Raw genomic sequence first — 24210 nt, forward strand, 5'->3', positions numbered from 1 at the left:
AGGGAAAGCTGAACGAACGTAAAATAATGTGGATTGACGAGGTGAGAGGGGCTTTCACCTGGCCAACCATAAGAAGTACGGGTGCTTGGGACAGAGGAGTCCCAGCTGCCAGGCTGAGCCCAGGGGCGCGTGCCTGGCTGCAGACGGCCAGCCTGGGTGGCTGTGGAAGGAGAACGGTGAAGTCCACCGAGCCAGTGCTCATGTCCTGTTCAAAGACTCAGTTGTGTCTGAGGGAACTTCAGAGAAGAGCAAGGATTTCACCACTGGATCCACCCGGGAGGGTGTGTGGAAGAAGTGGGGTCAGAGCGGCTGAAGGGGAGACCTAGGCAGGTAGAGATGGGAATGGGGACAGTAGAGGCAGAGACTGAGTGGGAAATGCAGGAACTCCTAGGGGTGGTTGGAGGAACTGCCCCCCCCCCACCCCCTGCCCACCAGCCGCCGCAGCGGAGCTGGGAGAGTTGTTCCATGGCCACAGGACAGAAGGTCTTGAACGCTAGGTTTGACTATGTCTTTAAACAGCCTTAATTTATCTTATGCTCATGATTCTGAAGATGACAACAAGGTGAGGTCACCTTCGTCATTCAGAAACTGCATGTAATAAAATAAAATGAAAAGCATTGCCAAGGAAATTAAGATTCCCTAGAAAACCCCCTAATCTTTTCATTACTTCATCAAATGTTTCTTAAATGCCAGGACCTAGTCTAGACTGGGGATATACAAGTAGAAATAAACACTAAAGAAGATAAATAAATAAAATGTGAATTACGTTAGATGGTGATAAGTGCTAAGAAAGGAAAGTGAGGCAGCAGAAGGCACTGCAGGCTGGGGAGAGTGTGGAGGTGGCATGGATGAGCTGCAGGTGCCACGCAGTCTGAGCCTTTTCTGCAAAGACCCCAGGAATTGAGAGGTTAGCGGGGGGCATCTGGGGAAGGGGTTCCAGATAAGGGGCGCAGGTGCAAAGGCCCTGGGCTGGAAGCACGCCCAGGGCTCCGAGGTGCGAGGGGGCTGCTATGGCAGGGCAGAGAGAACAAGGAAAGACAGCTAAGGGGGACGAGGCTGTGCGGCCTGGAAATGAGAAGCTGGGGCTCCGGCACAGAGACAGTTGCCAGGTCACCTGAGGAGGGGCGAACGCCGTGTTTCTAACTGCAGCTCAGCACCATTGTAGACTTACTTCTGCTTGTCTTACACAATAAGGAAATCGTGTTCCTTCCTCGTCACAAAGGGACTTAGCAAGTTTGTTTTTGGAAGTCACAGTTGTGGCAAAACCCTCATGAGGCCCTCCATCCCTGGGGGAAGACTCCTGGAGGAAATGCGTAGGCGGGGATTCCACAGGGACGGTGAGACCCTGGGGTCCCCATCACTGACGGAGCACATGAGGGGGGTCCCTTCAAGCAGCCCAAGCCAGCCTAGGGTCGGGGGTTTCTCCAAACACAGACCCTGAAACAATGAATTTTCTCAGGTACCAGCACCCAGGGCAGCCGGCCCTGAAAATGCTGGGTAGGGACCGGAGACACCCCTCAAGGTCCTGCGCCTTGGCTCGACCCTGAGGAGGTGAAGGAGGAAAGCAGGGTTGGAGGCCACTTAAGAGCCCTTCTCTCCGCGAGGGGAGGCCCAACGTGGCTCTCATGGGCTCTCTGAGATTTGAGAGTAGGAGCTAAGAGCAGCGTGGCTTGGAGGAGATCACAAAAGGAGACAGAAAAGGTGGCCTCTGCTCTTGTAGTCATCAGAATCGCCAGGTCCTGGGGGAGTCTTAAGCTCCCTAAAATCTGCATTTTGGCTACTCAGGAGGCTGAGGCAGAAGAATCGCTTGAACCCGGGAGGCAGAGGTCGCAGTGAGTCGAGATGGTGCCACTGCACTCCAGCCTGGGCGACAGAGTGAGACTCTTGTCTCAAAAACAAAAACAAAATCTGCATTTTGGTGTTTTACCTAGAAAAGCCAAGTCTGGTTAACAGAAATGAAAATGTCTTAGGAATTGCCTAACCAACCGCAAGTGCATTTGGCAAAATGGAATCCACTTGAAACCCGAAGTGAAGTAACTCGAAGTATTTACAAGCCAAGGCAAATGTTCAAAGGGAAGCTCAGACACAAAGAACAGATGGCGGATGAGAAAGCCAGAGAAGAGTGCATTTTGCCAACACCCACAAAATGCAGATTTTTTAAGTGCCTTGAAGGCTGTTTATGGTCTAAGCACCCAGGAATCTACGCCCTTAAGCTCCAGGGACAGAAGAAACTTGCTTGAAATGTGGTCACTGCATACTGAAAGGGATGATGTTCTGTCCTCTCCCCAGGGAATCCTATTTTTCATGAAAACCTCACCTCTGTCTATCTTTTACGCCAATCAGACCTTTTCCACCTTTTTAAAATAGAATGAAAAAGAGAGGAAGCTATAAACAACTGATGATCCGCCTGCTGAAATCACAAGGAAAATATGAAGAGGGCCACCTCTCTCCTCTCTCTTCTCAGGGGTTTGCCTAAACCCTCAGGGACCTTGTGGCTACACAAATTTCTTTAAAGGTCCAATTGTAGGAGCTCCTGAAAGAGTGCTGCATTGTTTACCTTGCAGGACATCTTTGCAGAAATAGTTCTAACCTTTATTGTACATTTAGTGAAGAGTGTTAGCACATGTTGAAGGACACCTACAGTGAAATGAAGGAAAATAGAAACAGAGAATTGCTGGTAGTCAACCAGAGAGGAAATAAACAGACAGAATGTATTTTCATGGAAATGTTCTCATTAGCTCTTATTTCTGATTCCTTAGATACTTTCTCATATCGGAATGTTTTGTTGAAAAACAGTGAAATCAAATGCACGCACATTATCACATTTAAAAACTGATCCGCTGCTCCTTCTGAAATTCAAATCAAGTTTTCATATAATAGACGCTTAAAAATTACCAAAATTTAGTCACTTGAGAAGCTGGCTTATCTGTTTCTCTCTCACAGAATCTCTTTAGGTGTCTGTTGTAAAAACACAAATGAATGTTTTTTAATGGATGGATGGATGGGAGGATGGGTGGACGGGTGATGTGTGAATAACACTCTCACATATAGAACAATATCCCCTCCTAATAGGGAAGACACAAATAATACACAAGAAGTTTCATCTTCATAGAGAAAAGACATTTCCATACACAACCTCAGTATCACAGAGGCTAATTACGTGGTGTAAGTTAATTGCACACAAACGTACAATTAACATCTTAGGAAAGAAAGCTATGTTTCACCACATTCAGTCCCAGTTTAATCATCGAGTTGATAAATACCCCTAGGAATTCAAAGCCACAGTGCAGAGTCTATGTCCCTGCCCCTGAGATGTGGCTGCGAAGGTTCTTCTTGATTGAGGCAGACAGAAGATTGGTTCTGGGCAGGACCCCTGGGCGTGTAAACAAGATCAAATGCTCCATTCTGAGGATAGGGGAGCTTCCAGATCCTGGCTGGGATGCACCTCATTGCAATTCACAAAAATAAAACACCTCTTATTTGGAGGTATTATTATGCATTTCAACATGTCTGGAATTAAAAATGTATTTTCACATATGTATTTAGTAACTGATACAACTTTTTGCCAATTGAATAAATATAGTCTGTGTATCTATCTAGAGTCTCAGCATATAACAAATGCCTACAAAAAATAGTTACCCAAAAGGTGCTGTTATTTTGTACCAATTTTAGAGAAGTTATCTTAGGTTCTTGAAAATTTCCTTGTACATGGATATTAGTGATTGACAATATTTGTAAAACAGCACTAATTAAACAAAAACCATATTATTTATTGCTTCTGAGTATCTAGGTATGCTTTCAGACCAGCTGACTTGTCAAAATAGGGAGGGACAGGCTGTCAATAGATTAGAAAGGTATTAGAAAAGTTGAACCAATATGTGTAATTTCAGTTTCATTCAAAACTAGGCAAAGTCAAATTAGTTATATTTAATATAACTGTAATTGTTTTGTCTTTTCATTTTTGAAGTTCAAAAGGTTCTGATTCCCAATAGATTAATAACATATTATTTTCACTTACATTTAAGGAAAATGAAGATTTCAGCATTAACCATCCACCAAAAACAAATGCGTGGTGTAATTGAGTTGAATGACCGAAACTTCACTGCTAAACTCTAAAGGCTTCAAAACTGTGAAAAATAAATAAAAATGAAAATTTAAAAGATGTGAAAAATGAAAAGAAGTGAAGAATGGCCAGATATAAGAATCTTCCTACCATTTCTTTTTTTTTAGACTAAGTTTTATTGTATGCTGCTGCCAGTGTATATAAAACAATTACCCTTGTGAAATAGAAATTCATGGAAATTCAGAGAGGTAGGTGTTAAGGACTGACGAAAAGAGAAGTTTGTATATTATGGAACATGTGTTACGGGGTCAGCTTTTGTACAGGCTTCAAATTTAGCTCTCTTTTGAATATTCGCTCGATCATAAGACACCAATAACACACAAACAGTTTCATCTTCATAGAGAAAAGACATTCCCATACACAACCTCAGTATCACAGAGGCTAATTACGTGGTGTAAGTTAATTGTACACAAATGTACAATTAAAAAAAAAAGTTTGGGAAACTTTTGAAAGATTCATTTTACTACAAAAAGGAATAGAATTTCTGGGTCTGAAAGGATTTGTATTTGAAGATATTCCAGTCAGTAGAGGGTCATGTTGAGCATTCTGCAGACAATTGTTTAAAGTCTGCAGCTGCCTGGGAAACTTTAACACGGTTGAGTTCAGCCTCCAGCCTGAGCTGTTGAACCACTTTCTTCATAGCTGCGACGCTGGAGGAAGCCAACATGGTGCATGTGAGGTCTGGGCCGATTCGTGGGTTGCTGGATCGTGGGTCATAGGGGGCCAGAAAATGGAGAGCATTCTCACATTCCTACCATGGGCTGGACGTTTCCAAAGCAGGCAGAAATTCTTATTCCTAGCATCCTAGACCCAGTGTTACCATAGCTTGTTTTTTCCTTCCATCCTTACTGAAAACATTTGTAGATATCCCGTCCATAGGAAAAATGAAGGAATCCTCCCTCCAAATTAAGGGCCTTGTTACTGAAGAAAGTCAGAGAGGGATGGGGAGGGACAGACCGACAGATGATTAGAGACAGGGGAAGACGGAGAAAGATAGAGGGAAAGAGAGGGAGATGCACAGACTGAAAGAGAGAGACAGAGTGGGGAGGTGGAGAGTGGGAGAGAGAGAGAAAGAGAAAGGGAGGAAGGTGAAAGGGCGGGGAGGGAGGGAGGGAAGCGGCGAGAGGCCCTCTGAAGCCATTTTGACATAGTGGAGTCCACCCAGCTCACAGCAGAGTGAGGCCCCGTGATCGAGCCCTGGGAGAAAAGACCCTCCCCTTGAGCCCCAGCCACCCCTTCAATACACAGCGCTGTTTGTCGCCACCAGGCTTCCGGGCCTGCTGTTACACAGCAGGAGACAACTGAAGCCCGCAATTGCTCCAGCCCTTGTCCTAGGACAAGACTACTTGGTGTGTGCTGGGGAGAAGGGGCGGCAGAGACAGTGAATTCGACAAAAGGCAAGCCTGGCCTGGGCCTGGGTAGGCATAGATGTGGTGAGAAGTGGGAGGAGAGTGGGAGAGAGGTGCAGACAGGTATGGCAGTGTGGTTCATGTACGTAAATAAATGTGCAGAGCCTATCGATGGCTTTCCCTGCGTGTCTCTGCAAGGAGGGCCCACATGAGTTGCTGACAGATGGCCTGATTAAAAAAAGACGAGCCACGGACTAAGCCGGCCTTACAATTTGACAGCTCAACTTAACTTCCTCGAAAGAAGCGGCACAAATGTGGCTCAGACCCCACCGTCAGCAGGTGCACAGCCCTCAGAGTCAGGAGGCAACTTGTTCTCTTGAGAGCTGTGAGGTGTCACCTGTCACCTGAGAGCTCACAGGTAATTAGGAATTCCTTACAGCACCATGCACAGGGCCTGAGATCCTAGGGCAGGCAGGAAGGAGGCTTCCCACGGCAGAAAGGAAAGGCCACTCTTCGCGATGCTTCCAGAGTCATCCAGCAGTCTCTTGGAAATGAATACTGGTCTGTTTCTTTTTACAAAACTGGCAGTGGGTTCAGTTTCTTCCTCCCATGCTCAAGAGACAATTTCTATGGGCTTGCCCCTTCTGCCCACAGAGAAGCCTCAGCACGAGAAGGGAGGGGCCCTTAGGTGGGTGTGTTGGGAACTTCAATCTGTGAACAGCTACCAAAAGCCAGACCCATTTCTGACTGTCCTGGGCTCTCCTGCTGGGATGGCCCCTGCTCCTACTTAGGCAGGTGGCCAGGTTTGCTCAAGTCAGAGGGAGCTGTCAGAAGAAGAGAGACTTCTCCCAGCAAGCCCCTGCTGCCCCCTCCTCACATCTCTTGGTCAAACTCTGGGGCCCCAGACCCACAGTGCACACTTCCAGGCAACTCCACCTGCCTCTCTGGGGAGCATCGGTCATTCATCCCGAATCCATCATTCATTCAAGGAATCTTTATTGAGCGCCCCCTACGTGCCCAGCAACACTCTGCTCACTCGATATCTGAAAAGAGTTTGTCTGTTTGAAGAGTTGGAAAACTGCAGTCAAACCCTGGCTTTCACATGAGCAAGTCTGTAAAATTATCCAGCATGCTGTGTTCATCCCAAAACCGCCCTCAGAGGTCCCTGAGCCTCTCACAAACCCCCTTTTAAGAAACTTCTTCTCTTCTATGATTTATAAAATGATTTTTAGCTGGGCGCTGTGGCTCACGCCTGTAATCCCAGCACTTTAGGAGGCTGAGGCGGGCGGATCACTTGAGGTCTGGAGTTCGAGACCAGCCTGGCCGACACGGCGAAACCCCTTCTCTACTAAAAATACAAAAATTAGCTGGGTGTGGTGGCGGGCATCTGTAATCCCAGCTACTCAGGAGGCTGAGGCAGGAGAATGGCTTGAGCCCAGGAGATGGAGGTTGCAGGTAGCCAAGACTGTGCCACTGCACTCCAGCCTGGGCAACAGAGTGAGACTCCGTCTCAAAAAAAGGAAAAAAAATGTTTAAGTGCTTTATTTTCCTTTCCAATCCTTTTTTCCTCCCCTTCTGCCCGCCTTTCTCTTTCTCTTCTCCTCACTCTCCTTTGCTCTCTTGCAGCAGTGTTCATGCAGCGCCTGTCTGGTGCCAGTTCTGAAGCACACACTGCAAAGATTAAGAAGATGGGTCTCAGCTGATTGGGAGTAGAGCACAGCATCTTCAGAGAAGGCCACGGAAGTCCTCCTCAAGGTGTCCAAGTGTCCTCCAAACATTAGCCACTGTTGTTATTAATAAAGGAATTTAAGACCGAAAAGACCTATGGAGGATTCAGGAGTCCAGGGGCCTGTATTACACAGAAGAGTTAAGAGGGTGATTCACACACCCGTGAAGATGAGTCTCCTCCCTCATCCTCCCCACACTGGGTCCATAAGAGGTGCTCCTGAGCAGTTTCACCTCATAACCCACAGGCTTAGATTTGGTGCTGAGGTAGCCAGGGTCAGCCCTAGTGCAGAGTAGAGCAGCTTAATTTCAGATGAATTTTTCAGTGGCCATTGCTCACTAGGTGCCTGGACAGGTCAAACCGTTTTCCACTTGTGAACAAGCATCTCAAAGCCAGTCCCCCCGCAGCTGACTGGCAGGTGTGCTCTGCCGTCTGCTTTTGGAAACAAGCCCTCAAGTGAATTATTTAAAGTCAGACAGCCTACTATTAGCAGACCTAAAGGAGGAACTCCTAGCAATTAATTAAATCCTGATATTTAACCCCCTGAGCTGAGCTAGTGCCTGTAGGGCAAAGGTGCTCAAACTTCAGGCTGCGTCGGAATAACCCTGAGAGCTTGTTAAAAAGCAGACTGCTGGGCCCCAACCCCGGAGTTTCTGGTTCAGTAGGTCTGGGGTGGGCCTGGAAATGTGCACTTCTAGCAAGTTTCAGGGGCTTCTGCTGACCCTGGATCAGTGTATCACACAGGACCGATAGATTATTGTCCCTGATTATGGTGAATAATATGGCCCAAAACACTTAAGAAACCTCCAATTTTCTCAAACTAGCACATCTGTGTACCTAATTATCCATGTGTCGTCTCTCTGTGTGTGAGGCCACGTGCTCTCCACGAAGACAGGTGAGTGGAGACCAAGACACAGAGGTGCTGCTATGACCGCAACTGCACCCACCTTGCAGAAAGCGCAAAGCTTCACTTTACAGCAAAAATACCAGCAATCTCCTCCCAGACTTTCAGAGCAGTTCCCAACAGGTAAGAGCAGGACCCTTCTGTCTGGGAAAGGCAGATCCATGCCTACACCTTATTTGGCAATACAGAAGTATCAATAAGATAATCATAAGTATTTAGAGAGTGATCAAAAGTGCCCTCCCAATATAGTTCAACAAAGAGCCCAAAATTTGACTTTGAAGGAGTCATTTCCACAGTGGACAGGTGTTTAGTTTTTTGTGCCCAACCAAATCTCGTGTTTCCGCTGGCAGTGCCACTGAAATGCATGCGTTTCTGGAAGGTGAAACGTGGCCACTCCTGTGGGACCCATGCTGCCCTGGCCAAGTTGCTCACAGTCCACGAAAGCCAAGCCGGCTTCCGCATCTCAAGGGCATTGGCTTCCGCAGCTCAAGGGCATTCTCTCCAGGACTTTTTGAAGTTCAAGTAATTCCGCAGATCCAAGGCTTATTGGTTAAATTTCATCCAGCACCTCATGACAGCGGCTGAAGTCACATTAACTTCAATCACATCAGTGACAGAAGCCACAGCCTTGTGCTGCTGCATGGTTTTAGACAGAAACCATGAAACTGCACCGGCAAAAAGTGTAAAACTATACGCACTGGGTCCGCAGATAGAGGTGTGAACCTCAGAGGGGCTGGCCCCGTTCCGCTCTTACTTTCTATTTTTCTTTCATTTTCTCCATTGTCATTTCTCCAAAGCAGGGCTGTCTACGCTTCATTGTCCTGCCTGTTGACAAATTGTTAAAGCAATTGCCTTACATTCATTTTAGATTTAATTTCCAGTGGCACTTTTCCTTTTCATGTTAAAGTCTTGCCTCATTTCAGTTTTATTTTTTCCTCACCTTTTTGTGAACAATCTCCTCCTTCAGTCAGCTCTGGACTAACAAGGTTGAACCAAAGATCTGTTTGCTTGGTGCAGGAAAACCACACGGGAGCCCTACAGCCTGCCCCGAGGCCGGCCCACATGAAAGCCCGGGGCTTCCTCACAGTTTGCTGTGAGCTGCACCAGCTCTCCTGGAGTGTGAAACCAATTTCCAAATTCACCTGAGGGTCCTTCTACAGAAAGGTTTTTGGTGAAAATATTTAGAATGTAGCAAAAAGCAATGATCAGAAGGGTATTTCAGATTTGAAAGTCACTTCATCTTCATTGTATTAATAAGTATTGATACTGGAATGGGTGGGCTCACAGTTACTGGTCACAAAGAAGAGCTTCTACGTGCCCCTGTATGATTTTGTGTTCTTCACTGTGTGGGAGGTGCAGCACATAGGCAGGTCTGAGCATTTTGGAGACAAACTAGGTTTGGAGACATCCACGCTGCTAACTGGATTCTCCTGGGCCAGAGTGTTACTGGATAGTCCTGTTTCCATTTCATCTGTGAAATGAGTTTGCTAAAAAATGGTAGGTATTTCACAGGCTTTGTGTGAGAACTGAGATAATCCGTGAGCAATTCTTGAAACAACATGATAAATACTTGGTGTTATTATTTTAGTCATCTGCCTTTAGCCGGGCTCAGTGTATCACACAGGACCTAGAGATTATTGTCCTAGCCCCTGCCTTGTTGCTTTGACACGAGGTAAGAACTACTTTCCTCCTTATTACACTGTTTTATGTAGGATACTTTGTCTTTTTCGTTTGTTCCCTACGGTTTTTTTCATAACAGTATTACAGATTGATCCCTGTAAAATAAGTCTTATTTAAATTTGGCTGTGGGCTTTTTAAATATAAAATCATGTGAACATCCCATAAAAACTATAACACTGAAAACTGTAGCATTACACATTAACAAGCACTTACACTCACATAGCGGCTTCTGGTTTAGGGACTCAGATAACATTCCAGTCATCTTCTGAATAGGGGGTTTTCTACGTAGTGTGCTTATTTCTCACATTGTGTGGTTTTATTTTTCTAGCTGCTTTTTCTCTCTAGATTATTACACATTCTGAATTGGAAGAAACATTACAGCCCTCCTAGGTGAACCTTCGTCACAAGACCAAAATCCTTTTATGGGGGGAGAGGAGGGAGCCTCCAGTTTAGGGTTACACACATCCAAGCTACCAGGGCTCAGCCTGGACCCAGGATACACCTTGAGTCCCTTTTTAAAACATCTCCCTAGTGCTGGGCACGGTGGCTCACGACTGTAATCCCAGCACTTTGGGAAGCCGAGGCAGGTGGATCACTTGAGGTCAGAAGTTCGAGACCAGCCTGCTCAACATGGTGAAACCTCGTCTCTACTAGAAATACAAAAATTAGCCAGGCGTGGTGGCGCACACCTGTAATCCCAACTACTGGGGAGGCTGAGGTGGGAGAATTGCTGGAACCCAGAAGGGGGAGGTTGCAGTGAGCCAAGATTGTGCCACTGCACTCCAGCCTGGGTGACAGAGTGAGACGCTGCCTCAAAAAAAATTTAAAATAAAATTTCCCTCGTATTGAACTGAACTTTAACTTCTTTGTAAATTATTCCCATTGGCCTTATTTCTGGTCTCTGATGCTACCTAGAATAAATACGAAATATATTTATTGGAATATTTCTTGCCTTAGCTCAGGCTACTGTAACACAATTTCACATGCTGGATGGCTTAAACAACAGAAATTTATTTTCTCACAGCTCTGGAGGCTGGAAGTCCAAGATCAGGATGTCAGCATGGTTGAGTTCTGGCGAGGGCCTCCTCCTGGCTGGCAGACAGCAGAGAACATCAGTCCCCTGTAAGGCCTCCCTCATGATCTCATTGAACCTTGTCACTGCCCAAAGGTGACCTCCAAATACCACCACATTGAAGATTAGGTCTTCGACATAGAAATTTTGGGGATGAGAAGGACACAGTGCAGTCCACAGCAGAATAGTCAATAAAACATGAAATAAGTATAAAATCCACATGCAAACCCCAGGTATTTCAGGCTACTTACACCTCCCCTTGGACCTTTCTTTCCAGGCTCAGATACACCTGCTTTAGTCTTTACTATGGGACAGCTTCTAGAGCTTTACCATCCAGCTGAGCTTTCATTCTTAAAAAGGACTACATTTTTCATCCTTGTTTTGAAACCTTCATGAAATTCCGTAAGTTGTCCACCAAAATCTATCCCATTCTTGCTAGCACTAAATACTTTTATAGCTATGTATATACCTATGGACAAATAAACTGATTTCAGTTCTTTGAATACAGAGGGGTAACCAAAAACCACACCAAAAATGCTTTAAAGTCTTTGATTTTTACAGAGATAATAAAGATGATTTCTTTCAAAAGCTTCGTATTTCTAACACTATTGGAGAAAACCACCTTTCCTAGCTTAATATGTAAGATTTATTTTGATTCAAAAGTGTTAACTGGAACTTCTGCCTCTAAAGTCACGACAGCATTTTGTCTTCTCTCTAGAGAACGCTGCACATTTGTAAATGAAACTTTCAGCCATGTTCAACCATCGGACAGACTGGCCCCCCCCAAATACCACCCTGTCTAGCAAATTGAGACTGTCACACCACATTCTTATTTTTTATTTTTTATTTTTGACGGAGTCTCACTCTGTCGCCCAGGCTGGAGTGCAGTGGAGCCATCTCCGCTCACTGCAAGCTCCGCCTCCCGGGTTCATGCCATTCTCTTGCGTCAGCCTCCCGAGTAGCTGGGACTACAGGCGCCCGCCACCATGCCCGGCTAATTTTTTGTATTTTTTAAGTAGAGACGGGGTTTCACCGTGTTAGCCAGGATGGTCTCAATCTCCTGACCTCGTGATCCTCCCACCTCGTCCTCCCAAAGTGCTGGGATTACAGGCGTGAGCCACCGCGCCCGGACCACATTCTCTTCTAAGGCAGGAATCATGCCTATCTTTTTGTACATCTTTGAAATGAAACTATGTGGATGATGCAAAATATTACTTTGCATGCAATTAGAATTTTTAAATGCCGGTTACACCAATCACTTTACTGAATGAATATTTTAATGCTAAGTGATGAAAAAGATGGAAACACAGTAGACATACAAAAATATTCCCTAAGAGAAATGAAAATATAATGTTAGATAACGCATTTGTCATCTATACGAGAAATCTCATCTGCTTTTCCTGGGGGAGCCCACTGTCCTTATCAGTGTGTACCACGGGCCTGGTTTCCTTCTCCTAGGAGCAGCCAAAAGCCAGGGTCCAGGATTAGACATTGCAAAGAGATATTTTAGCACCATCAAGAAGGCCGATTTGCTCATGTGGTAGTAGAACATTGCATTTGATATTATAAATTTTCATTAGCCTGTAAATAAAAAAGAATATAAATTCACAATGAGATATACTGCTTAATATTAAGGATAAAGCTTTAATAGTTAAACAATAAATTCTTCCTTTGGTGTAAAACTAGAAATGTATAGTCCTTTCAACTATGCAAGATTTATTTTGATATTTCAATATTCAATAACATTTTTATATGCATATATATAAAGATATACATCTGGAAAACTCTTTAAATTTATCATCATGTAAAAAATTTTATTGATGTGTTATTCATTCTTAGAATTCTAGAGAAAATTAACTTTTTTATGTTGATAAAGACATAAAGACATGTTTTTATATACAATTTATACATTCCATAATTATAGTAAATAATATTTGTAGACACCTATTTAGATCAAAATCCAGTATTTTCTAGAAAATGGTACCATTGTCCTTTTGTGAATATTTATGGACAGGTTGCTCTCTCTCCATGCTAAGATTCCTTCCTAAGTCTAGTCCCATGACTATAGCAGACCTTTAATTACCAAATGCCCATTGAGATGTCCAGTTGCAATCAGGACGCCTTCTTCACACAAGTCTTCTTTTTTTTTTTTTGAGACGGAGTCTCGCTCTGTCGCCCAGGCTGGAGTGCAGTGGCACGATCTCGGCTCACTGCAAGCTCCGCCTCCCGGGGTCATGCCATTCTCCTGCCTCCCGAGTAGCTGGGACTACAGGCGCCCGCCATGACGCCTGGCTAATTTTTTGTATTTTTTTGTAGAGACAGGGTTTCACCGTGTTAGCCAGGATGGTCTCGATCTCCTGACCTCGTGATCCGCCCGCCTTGGCCTCCCAAAGTGCTGGGATTACAGGCGTGAGCCACCGTGCCCGGCCTTCACGCGGGTCTTCCATAAAACATAAAACAATTCCTAATGGCTGAGAGCAATATGTTAAAGACAAATACACTTCTAAACTCACAACAGAATTTTCTTTTTTACCTTCACTGATACAGGATTTCAGTAGTGAGAAAAGTTTTTTGTTCGCTGCCTTCTGTTTCTAATTTAAAACCTTTGTTCCGAGGTCCTAGCTTTCTGTGTCCATTCAAAAAGATTCACAGCCTGGGAGTGCTCACGGATCTGAGTCCTGTTCACACACATAAACAGGCAGCTCACAATGGAATGCATGAAGTCATTCTACTAACAATGTTTTTGGGGGTTTTTTTTGTTTTTTTGAGACGGAGTGTCGCTCTTGTTGCCCGGGCTGGAGTGCAATGGCGCAATCTCGACTCACTGCAACCTCTGCCTCCCGGGTTCAAGCCATTCTCCTGCCTCAGCCTCGGAGTAACTGAGATTACAGGCACCCGCCACCATGCCCGGCTAATTTTTTGTATTTTTAGTAGAGATGAGGTTTCACCATGTTGGCCAGGCTGGTCTCAAACTCCTGACCTCAGGTGATCCACCCTTCTCGGCCACCCAAAGTGCTGAGATTACAGGCTTGAGTCACCTCGCCCAGCCCCTACTAACAATGTTTAAATATTTACATCTTCTCAGGAAGTTAGCAGTTCATGTCATAAGTTATTTAAGAAATTTTCAAGTTTGAATAAAATTTCTTAAGGATTTTTTTTTTTTTTTTTTTTTTTGAGACAGTCTTGCTCTGTCGCCAAGGCTGGAGTACAGTGGTGCAATCTCGGCTCACTGCAACCTCCGCCTCCCGGGTTCAAGCTATTCTCTGCCTCAGCCTCCTGAGTAGCTGGGACTACAGGCGCCCGCCACCACGCCAGGCTAATTTTTGCATTTTTACTAGAGATGGGGTTTCACCATCTTGGCCAGGCTGGTCTTGAACTCCTGACCTCGTGATCCACCCGCCTTGGCCTCCCAAAGTGCTGGGATTACAGGCGTGAGCCACCACGCCCAGCCTCTTTAGGAATTTTATGACAGCAGCACTTTACCAATATGTGGAGTAGCATGAAAGATAATATGGCCTGGAAAGGCCAGAACTTAAGAGCAGTGAATCTTCAAGAAGTGAGCCCAGAATATTTGTTCAGGAAATTAACATGAATGCATAAGGAGTGAAGATTGTGCTACCTACAAGTACTCTGCCCCAGCATTTTGCAAAGAGAAAAAGGTGTGAAATCAGCTTACTGTGTTCACCTCTGCACCGACATGGCTTAGCTTTGTGCCTGGCCAGAGTCAACATTTAATAAACATTTATACAAGAATCTAAGACGATTTTATCATAGAATACTACAAACCTCAGAGAAGGGAGCGTGTATTTATCAAACTCCACAGAATTCCTATGTGAGTCACCTGAAATATCAATTTATCCAAAACTCCACAAGCCACTCAATGAGAGAACGATTCATTCATTCTATTAAATGGAGTTGGTCTGAGTTTCATTGACTGTCAAACTATAGGTATCTCACACTTAAAAAATAATTTAATAATTTACTAATAATTTTAAAACTATGCTACCGTAAAAGTAAATGATTCTGTTGAGACAAAACCACTGTGTGACTTTGTCAGTTGTTATGTGACTTGATAGAGTGAGTTTAAGTTCCAAAATTCCTTGCAGCCTTACTTTAAAATCTCATGTTCTCAAATACTAGAAGACTTTTGGAGAATGCTGGGGTTTTTTTTTTTTCTTTTGGCCATATAGCATATATATTTGTGCACAGTTCTTAGCAAAAGGTAAATATTCAACATTTATTGAAATGAATTTATTCACTTTGGTGAGAAAGACAGCCCGAGCTCGTAACTCCCTGAGGAAAAAAAATGTGTAGTTTTTTCTCACTCTGAACTGTAATTCTTAGTGATTATAGTTATCATTGATTTGGGGACACTAAAGGAAAATATCTAACATATAAGCACTATTTTTCAGTGCTTATTTTATTAAAAACCAAAATATTAAAAATCAACCCAGTTTTACAGTCTTTATAAAAGAGCTGTTCTATAATCTTAACCCAAATGTAAGACAGATGATATCACTTCCCAGAACTAATTGCTAAAAAGTTAAAACATTTATAAAAACCCACAATAAAAAAATGGGAAATATACAGACTTCTAAATTTTGTATTCTGGAGCTTTTCTCTGATTTCTGTTCCACAAGCTTCCTTTTGAATCAGCTTCCATAAATCTTCATAGTCAATCATATTTTTCGAGATTGCACATTTGGTCAATTCATTTTGCAACCCTATACTCTTATTTTCAAAGAGAATGGGTGTGTGTGTGTGTGTGTGTGTGTGTGTGATTTAAAATTTAAAATCTTTCAAACCAGCGGAGTGTAACAGCTGGGTAACTTGCAGCTAGCTAGTCAGGAAACAGTTATTTTCAACAGTAATTGACACCAAAAAAGTAAACCACAACTTTGAAAGTTTCTAAGGGTTCATATATATTTTAAAAATTAAAGGGAACAATTAAGTCAGACAGACCGTTTTTCTTCTTCTTTTTAAGCTAAGTAGTCATACCTGGGAGTTAATATAAGGGGAATTCTTGGTGGGAGGGAGGATGATAGAAGAGAGAATGGGGGCTTTATAGAGGGGGAAGAAAAGGTTTGAGGACATTGAGAGGAAGTAGACAAACATACCTTTCCCTTAAAATTCAATTTCTAATTTTACCTTCCTTTGGCATGGAGACTCTAGAACATTCTTACACTATACACACCAATTGTCATATGGGAATATGCTGCTTATGATAATAAACCATGTATTTGCCAGTTTCGTGGAAAACAGACATGAATGCTTTTCAATATAATTTCATCTCCTAGGCAATGGAGCGCACGTGACTGACAAGGCTGCCTGATAGCTGGAGAGCTTTCTCAGAACAGTGAGCCTAGAGGCGCCCTCTAATTTACCCGAGGGTTTATAAGGTGAGGGTCACGCTGGCCATTTTCCTTTGGGGAAGAATAGAATCAGGGATGCACAGGATTCTATAAAGATAGAGGGACATTTTTTAGATGATGAAAATGTAGCGTCATCAGCAGAAATCAGACTTTTTTTCAGTCTAATTTCTTTTCTTTCTTTCTTTTTTTTTTTTTTTTTTTTTTGAGACGGAGTCTCGCTCTGTGGCCCAGGCTGGAGTGCAGTGGTGCGATCTCGGCTCACTGCAAGCTCCGCCTCCCGGGTTCACGCTATTCTCCTGCCTCAGCCTCCCGAGTAGCTGGGACTACAGGCGCCCGCCACCACGCCAGGCTAATGTTTTGTATTTTTTTTTAGTAGAGACGTGGTTTCACCGTGTTAGCCAGGATGGTCTCGATCTCCTGATCTCGTGTTCCGCCCTCCTCGGCCTCCCAAAGTGCTGAGATTACAGGCTGGAGCCACCGCGCCCGGCCTCAGTCTAATTTCTACAGCAGGGCCTCATCGCTGTGACCCAGGGAGGCCGCGCCTCCGAGGTGGGTCCATGCCACCTCCCTCTGTAGGAAGAGCCTTCAGCACCCCAGGGCCGTTCGCAGGGCTCTTCCCCAAACAAAATAAAATGAAACGGAGGTTTTCCTGAGCTTCAGCGTCAATCCGATCGGACCCCCGGGAGGTGCAGCGAGCTCGGGGACACGGTGTTCGGGTGGTAGGATTTCCAAAGTCCTGAGAGGCTGAAGGGGCAGGTATTGTTCCCGCCGCCCCTTGGGCAAGGGGCCTCCCGGAGCAAAGGCTAGGGGGCCCGGGCTCCCAGTTCTGGGGTCGTCCTGGTGACAGGGTGACCCCTAGACCATGGGGGCGGCTACAGCGACTGTCCGGGGGTGTCTGGGCCACGACCACCCGTCCCACCAGGAGGACGCAAGCACGGCACACTGGCTGGGGGCTCCGCACTGGGAGGCTGGGCCAGACCTGGAACGGCCTAACAGCAAGGAGAGAGCCGGACGCCGTGGCTCAGGCCTGGAACCCCAGCGCTTTGGGAGGCCGAGGCGGGAGAGTCGCTTGAGGCCAGGAGTTCGAGACCAGCCTGAGCATGACGGCGAAACCCCGTCTCTACAAAAAAAAAAAAAAAAAAAAAAAAAAAAAAATTTTAATTAGGCTGGCGCAGTGGCTCACATCTGTAGTCCCAGCTACTGGGGAGGCTGAAGCAGGAGGATCGCTTGAGTTCGGAAGGTCGAGGCTGCAGTGAGCTAGGATTGCGCCACTGCGCTCCAGCCCCGGGCGACAGACTGAGAACCTGTCTCGAAAAAAAAAGAAGAGGAAAGAAAAAGAAAACCAGAACGAGAAAGTGCGGCCAGCCCGGGCTCAGGAGCTGGGTGGGAAACAAAGCCGCCAGAAAATGACAAGTAAACACGCAGCCGCGGGAAGCCACTGGGCGGAGCGGGCGCTAATGAGCGCGCAGCGGGGCCGCCACGCCCGCGCGGACACGGAGCAGCGGCGCCTTTCCCTGCGACTGGCTGTGTCGCCTGGAGCCCGGCGGCCGCCACCCCAGGGAGAAAGCTCCGGTGAGGGGAGCAGACGCTGGGACCCGTGGTCTCGCCCTCTGCTCTTTCCTGGCTGGGGACGGGGGTAGCTCCCAGGCAAAGGCCCTCCGGGGTCTCCGCCCGGGGGGCCCCACCTGCCTTGTGACGGCTGAGATGTGCGCGTCCCACCCACTTTCCAAGGCGCCTTTGAAGTCGTTTCTCATTAAAAAACAAGCTTTTTGAATAACCAAATGTTCCTTTGGCGCCCTCCAATTTTATTTTACTGTAATCTATTGAGTTGTATTTGTTTTTCTGAATCCGCTTCCTAGGAAAGCGCCCCCTCCCATTTTAAACCGTTCTCAGGTGGTTTTTTCTGGAAGCAGCAGTGGTTTGTCCAGCAAGGATTAACTCTTTGCCTTTTCCCGTCTAAACTTCTGAAGACACCTGACAGCTCGTTTTAACTCTGCAAACGACAGTTCATCCTCCGGGGTGTGGATTCGGGCTCCCACGGCTGCCGCCTGGGGCAAGTGCGTCTCCCCGGGCGCCTACGCGGCCCCGCGCGCTCCTGGCAGCGTCGCCCCCAAGCCAGCCCCGCCTACCCAGAGAGGGCCAGTCCTGTTCCGGGTCCCGAGGGCCTTGGGAACCCCACAGGTTCCTTCCTCCCGGGGTTTCCCAGCAGACCACACACAGAGATGCGCTCCGGAACTTAGGGAACCATGTAAAGGAACTTCCAACAGGACTGGGCCTTTTATGCGTGTTTATCTTAAACATTTTAGGAAGCAAGTGGCAAAGTGCTTTAAAAGTAAAACTTAGAACGTCTGCACTAGCTGTTTGTGCAAACGAGTATTTGCTAAGCATTATCCGAGACCTGAGAATTGTTTCTTTATGATTTACTTATATGTGATAAGTTCCCTTTGTAGAAAGAGACTATATTTAATCATAAATATATCGTCATAGGTACAAGGATAAAATTTAAGAAGAGAGGACTACAGATCACTTTAACGCTAAAGGGAATTGTAGTGAAGCATGGATGTTTTCCCATTAAGGTGACTTTCTTCTGGGGTGTGTGTGTGTGTGTGTGTTTAGTTTTTTGTGCCTTTATGTTTCTATCAGTTTGTCTTTCCCAGTGAAAATTAATTCAAATGTGTCTTCATTGATATATTTCAAGTGTTGTGCGCTGAACATTGAGTCAGAATAATTTGATTAAGGTTCAATGATAAAACCACTCTGTCTCACTGATTTTAATTAAACTGGAATCTGAAAAACACATGCATTCAATATAGTGGCCATTATTTTTAATTCTAAACAAACTTTTTTGGTTTTGAGCCAATATTTTTAGTTCTAAACCAACATTTTTGGTTGGTTTAGTTCTAAACCAACATGTTGAAACCTTGGGAGGTTTTCGCATTTTCCAGAGTGAGAACTGCTTGCATTGACTTCCCGGAATGTGTAGTACCAGACCCTCAACCTTAAAAGAAGTTCCATTCTTCTCCACTTCTCTCTTCTCCCCAGGACCCATGACTTTACACTTCAATATTTCTGCAGGGCTCACAGTTCACTGAGAGGTAAGTGAAAGTCAAGAACCACTGGAAGACAATGAAAATTTCATTCTTGTGGGCAATTTTAACTCTTAACTGTTACAAATGATAGTATCTGCGTACAAGATCTTCTATATACCAGATTCAGACACCACATTTTGACTCTTTTTTTTCACATGAATATACTTCCCATATGAACTCAAAAAGAAATCTATAAATATAAAATTATTTTAGAGATATTTCTTAGACCATGACAAATTATCCAAAACTTGAAAAAAGTTAAAAAGATAGATGGCAATTCTTGTTGATGTCAGATAGAGGCATTGTTTAGCAGGCACCTGTGGATTTTCTATATAGGTGAATATATTTGGTAGGACTCATCGCTTACTATTGATTAAAGATTAAGGACTTATGGGAAGTTACATGTCAGACATTAATCCATTAGAGATGCAGATTTCTGTCCAGGAGAAAAGATAATGCTAAAGGTTATGGCTTATCATCTTGTGGGACACTAACTTGTTTGGTATCTATGAACAAATTCACTTCAGTGTTTCTCTGACCATCCACTGTGTAAATGTTCATACCTCCCATTCTCATCTGAGCCAGTCTTCACATCTAATTTATCCCCTTATTAACTTATTAAAGTTGAACTTAACTTATTAAAGTTTTAACTTATTTAACTGAATTTACTTATTAAAGTTGAATTTGACTTTAATAAGTTGAATTAATGCAATTGCTCAGTAAACATTAATTTAATTGAAGCTCATTCTTATCCAGAATAAATATAAAATGCAAGGTTCTTTGTGACACAAATATTTATAGAAACAATAAGAAATAACGTAGCTGGCTGGCTCATACCTGTAATCCCAACACTTTTGGAGGCCCAGGCGGGAGGATCACTTGAGCCCAGGAGTTCCAGACCAGCCTTGGCAACATTGTGACACTCCATCTCTACAAGAAAAAATTTTTTTAATTCAGAAAATTATTCAGATGTGGTGGCATGTGCCTGTGGTCCCAGCTACTTGGGAGGCTGAGGGGGAAGATCTTTTGAGTTCAGGGGGTCGAGACTGCGTGAGCTATGATTATGCCACTGAGCTCTAACCTGGGCGACAGAGTGAGACCCTGTCTCAAAAAAAAAAAAAAAAAAAAAAAAGGAAGGAAGGAAGAGAGAGAAGCAAACAACTAGAAATACTAGCAATATAAAAGTGATTAGTTTTGTATTTATATGACATTTAACTAATAAACTCTAAAATATTAGCTGAAAGAACAAAAGAAAATGCTTGCCTTTATATTGTCTCGTGTTCAACATAATTATGATAATTTAAAAAGATGTAAAGATCTTCATTTTAAAAATGTGTTGCTGAAAGTGAATAAATGAGTAAAACTGAGGGGAAATAATCTTTTCCTCTAAAGCTTAAAAACTTAGTAAATAAATAGCATAATATATGGAAAGGACATAGGCTTTGGGTGAATCTAACTTGGGCTCAAATCAAGCTCTATCCTTTGGGCAAGTTACTACATTCTCCAAGCCTCAGTTGTTTCAACTGTAGATTAGACTTGGTAATAACACCTTCCTCCCAGGATTGCTCAGGGAATAAGGTAAAGTCTGCAAAGTGCAGGGAGCTGTCTGGCAAACGGTAAAAAATGAAAGCATAATAAGTAATACTTTTGCATCCTACAAGTCTTTCTTATTTTTTTAATTAAAACAAATTTTTTATAGACACGTCTCTCTCTGTCATCCAGGCTAGAGTGCAGTGTCACGATCAGAGCTCACTGCAGCCATGAACCCCTAGGCTCCTGGGCTCTTGGACTTAAGCTGTCCTCCCACCTCATCCTCCTGAGTAGCTGGAACTACAGTCATGAAGCTTTATGTTAAGTTTCATCTACTAAATTGTAACAACTAAAACTTGAGGACTAAAATATATGGAAAAATTACTACTACATGAAAAATTGTGTTAAAGTCGTATCATTTATCTCTTTATTAGTGAACTGGGCTATAAATGTTCTAAAGATATGCTCAGGCTGGGTGTGGTGGCCCACACTTGTAATCCTAACAGTTTGGGAGGCCAAGACAGGAGGATCACTTGAGCCCCACAATTTGAGATCTGCCTGGGCAACATAGCAAGACACCATCTCTACAACAACAAGGAAGATAGTGATATGGTTAGGCTTTATGTCCCCACCCAAATCTCATCTTAAATTGTAATCCCCATAATTCCCATAATCCTCACATATCAAGGGAGAGACCAGGTGGAGGTAAATGAATCATGGGGAGAGTTTCCCGCATGCTGTTCTCATGATAGTGAGTTCTCACGAGATCTGTTGGTTTTATAAGGGGCTCTCCCCCCTTCAATGGGTACTTCTCCTTCCTGCCACCTTGTGAAGAAGGTGCCTTGCTTCCCCTTCCACCATGATTGTAAGTTTCCTGAGGCCTCCCCAGCCATGCTATACTGTGAGCCAATTAAACCCCTTTCCTTTATAAATTATTCAGTCTCGGGTAGTTCCTTATAGCAGTACAGAAATTGACTAATACAGATATGCCCAAATTAATAAAAATGATGCAAACCAATAATTGTGTGGCCACTAAAATCTTTACTTAACTGGCATCACACTCTTTACTTATGTTAAAGGAATAAATTGCATGCATTAGTTATCTATTGCTGTGTAGAAATTCCCCCACTGCAGCAATGTAACACAACACACACCTATTATCTCAACGAATCCGTGAGTCGGGAGTCCAGCGACAGACTTGCCGGCTCTCCTGCTGGGGTCTCACAAGGCGGTCGCCAGGTTATGTCCAGGGTGGGTTCTCATGCGGAGTCTGACTGGGGGAGCGTGCATGCCCCTGCTCGCATGTGTTTGGTAACACTCAGCTCCTTTCAGTTGTAGGATCTGTGGCAGCTGCTGGCTTCTTCAGAGCCAGTGAGGGAGACAGCGAGTCTCCCCAAAAGACAGTCCTGTGTGATGTGAGTCATCCCCAGAGTGACATCCCATCACCTTTGCTGTAGCCGTTGGTTAGAAGTCAGTCACCAGTCCTTCTCTGTGACTCAGGGGAGATGACTACATAAAAGGCAGTTACACCTGGAGGCACCTGGGAGTCTGCCACACGCCCCCCTGCCTCCCTCGCATGTGCAAAAGTCATTCACCTGCTCTAGGTACCTAAGATTTTCGGAGCTTCATGGCATCAGCTCAAAGCCTGAAATGTCAACATCTAAATCAGGTCAAAGGTCAGTGGAGGGTCATGGTGCAATCATTCGGTTCAGGTTCTGGGACACAATTCCTCTCCATGGATGGGCCCGGGAAGCTAAAGAGATTAGTGACCTGTCCCGTGGTGGAGCAGGCACCAGATGCAGCTGTAGACATTTCAGTTTTCAAGGGGAGGAAATGGCAGATAAAAGGCATCTTGACTGTGTAGCAATTCCAAATCCAGAAAAGTAAAGGTTGGGAGTTCTCAGTCAGGTTTCCAGGGCTGGGGAGAATTCTCCTGGCTTCTGGATTCCCTGTCTGGGCTCTTGGTCCCCGCATCTACACTGCACTTGTTTGGAAGGAAAGGTTGCCCATGTTTGCAGCTGAGGAGCTTTTTAGCCTACTTCCAGCCAGCAAAATCTGGGGAGTCTGGCAGCCTCCTTTCATCCTGTGCTCTCTCTGTTCCTTCCCACCCAGGCTGGCAGTGTTTCTGTGAAAGTGATTTCCTCAAAATCTTTGTCTCTCATGGATTTCACCTGGGTCTACTCCATGAGCCGAAGGCCTCACCTGCCGATGTTTTTGAGGCAAGCCTTTTCTATCTTTGAGTCCTGCCGAGGTGACTCGGAGTCAACGCCCTTCGGCTCCTCAGGGGCTCCCTGGTTCGATCCATGAGGCTCAGCCCTGACCTCTCTAAGGCACCCTTGGTGGGGCAGAATGCTGAGGCTATGATCTTTCTGAGGCCTTATCCAAAGGCTGTGCAGACACAGCCCAGCCACCTGGGCTCCTGGGCTTACACTGTCTTGACAGCACCATCTCTTGCTATCTGGAGAGGCCGACGCCTCAATTCTGGACGTCTGGACCCAAACCGTGAGACATAAACTTCTGTGGCTGTCCTCTGCCCAGTTTGCGGTCACATGTCGCAGCCGCCCGAGGTGACTAAGACAGGAAACTAAAGTGGCTGTTTCTTCCTCCAAGCTTTCGAAACTTTTTTTTTTTTTTTAATTGAGACAGAGCCTCGCTCTGTCACCCAGGCTGGAATCTAGTGGCAAGATCTTGGCTCATGCAACCTCTGCCTCCCAGGTTCAAGCAATTCTTCTGCCTCAGCCTCCCTAGTAACTAAGACTACAGGCGCCCAGCACCACGCCCGGCTAATTTTTATATTTTCAGTACAGACAGGATTTCTCCATGTTGGCCAGGCTGGTCTCAAAACTCCTGACCTCAGGTGATCCACCCGCCTTGGCCTCCCAAAGTGCTGGGATTACAAGCGTGAGCTCCCGCGCCCAACCTGAAACTTGGTTCTTTATCAACTTAGGGTCCCGGAGAGCAAAGCACCCGGCCTCCCATCCGCCCAGTGTCTTGCAGCGTCATCTTCATTTCCACCAAAAGGTCACGGATACATTGCTGCTTTCGCACCCAGCACGTTTTAGACAGTAAGCTTGTTCATGTGTCTTTCGCACCCAGCACGTTTTAGACAGTATGCTTGTTGATGTGTCTCTGTCCTTAACTCGGTTGAACTTTCTGAGAAAGTCCCCTCAGCATTTTAGAACTTGTGATGTTTCAGAATGTGGCCTCTAACCAGACCATAGGGCTCAGCTGGCAGCCCTGCTGCCTCCCAGCAGAGGTCACATGAGCTTCTTGTGCTTCCTTTTTCTCATCTGCACACTGGAAACGACAACAATAGAACCCATCCCACAGCGGGGTGCTGGCCAGTTGAATTGATCCCCACAAAG

General features: G+C 45.0%; 2 long non-coding RNA genes and 1 pseudogene across 3 annotated transcripts, besides 7 other annotated features; 1 reads left to right on the forward strand and 2 right to left on the reverse strand.

The window, feature by feature from the left end:
• Positions 1 to 1265: 1265 nt before the first annotated feature.
• On the forward strand, positions 1266 to 21244 carry LOC101929297 (uncharacterized). The gene is made up of 5 exons (NR_125862.1): positions 1266 to 1337; positions 7099 to 8225; positions 18714 to 18802; positions 19269 to 19321; positions 21038 to 21244. It is a non-coding gene; the product is annotated as an uncharacterized LOC101929297 (long non-coding RNA).
• GNG5P1 (G protein subunit gamma 5 pseudogene 1) lies at positions 4225 to 4854 on the reverse strand (annotated as a pseudogene).
• Positions 5632 to 6131: an enhancer, noted in NCBI's record as "H3K4me1 hESC enhancer chr6:166654823-166655322 (GRCh37/hg19 assembly coordinates)". NCBI's record gives its function as "activates a minimal SCP1, AML or CMV promoter by ChIP-STARR-seq in naive H9 embryonic stem cells {active_cell/tissue: H9 hESC(naive)}" and the evidence as "EXISTENCE:reporter gene assay evidence [ECO:0000049][PMID:30033119]".
• Positions 17510 to 18168: an enhancer, noted in NCBI's record as "H3K27ac-H3K4me1 hESC enhancer chr6:166666701-166667359 (GRCh37/hg19 assembly coordinates)". NCBI's record gives its function as "activates a minimal SCP1, AML or CMV promoter by ChIP-STARR-seq in naive H9 embryonic stem cells {active_cell/tissue: H9 hESC(naive)}" and the evidence as "EXISTENCE:reporter gene assay evidence [ECO:0000049][PMID:30033119]".
• Positions 17518 to 17812: a silencer, noted in NCBI's record as "tiled region #12026; HepG2 Repressive non-DNase unmatched - State 10:DNaseD". NCBI's record gives its function as "represses a minimal TATA promoter and a strong SV40 promoter by Sharpr-MPRA in HepG2 cells {active_cell/tissue: HepG2}" and the evidence as "EXISTENCE:reporter gene assay evidence [ECO:0000049][PMID:27701403]".
• Positions 18169 to 18826: an enhancer, noted in NCBI's record as "H3K27ac-H3K4me1 hESC enhancer chr6:166667360-166668017 (GRCh37/hg19 assembly coordinates)". NCBI's record gives its function as "activates a minimal SCP1, AML or CMV promoter by ChIP-STARR-seq in naive and primed H9 embryonic stem cells {active_cell/tissue: H9 hESC(naive and primed)}" and the evidence as "EXISTENCE:reporter gene assay evidence [ECO:0000049][PMID:30033119]".
• Positions 18983 to 23328, reverse strand: LOC107986668 (uncharacterized). Of its 2 annotated transcripts, XR_001744462.2 has the most exons (3): positions 22000 to 23328; positions 20153 to 20245; positions 18983 to 19342 (listed from the first exon to the last, which is right to left on the reverse strand). It is a non-coding gene; the product is annotated as an uncharacterized LOC107986668 (long non-coding RNA). The 2 variants fall into 2 exon arrangements; XR_001744463.3 differs by lacking the exon at positions 20153 to 20245.
• Positions 22310 to 23509: an enhancer, noted in NCBI's record as "CDK7 strongly-dependent group 2 enhancer chr6:166671501-166672700 (GRCh37/hg19 assembly coordinates)". NCBI's record gives its function as "activates an origin of replication core promoter dependent on BRD2, BRD4, P300/CBP, MED14 and CDK7 cofactors, with strong dependence on CDK7, by STARR-seq in HCT116 cells {active_cell/tissue: HCT116}" and the evidence as "EXISTENCE:reporter gene assay evidence [ECO:0000049][PMID:35650434]".
• Positions 22310 to 23589: a biological region, named in NCBI's record as "CDK7 strongly-dependent group 2 enhancer GRCh37_chr6:166671501-166672700".
• Positions 22722 to 23589: an enhancer, noted in NCBI's record as "H3K4me1 hESC enhancer chr6:166671913-166672780 (GRCh37/hg19 assembly coordinates)". NCBI's record gives its function as "activates a minimal SCP1, AML or CMV promoter by ChIP-STARR-seq in naive H9 embryonic stem cells {active_cell/tissue: H9 hESC(naive)}" and the evidence as "EXISTENCE:reporter gene assay evidence [ECO:0000049][PMID:30033119]".

Source organism: Homo sapiens, chromosome 6 (genome assembly GCF_000001405.40).
Source record: "Homo sapiens chromosome 6, GRCh38.p14 Primary Assembly".
In the NCBI taxonomy this organism is placed as follows: Eukaryota; Metazoa; Chordata; class Mammalia; order Primates; family Hominidae; genus Homo; species Homo sapiens.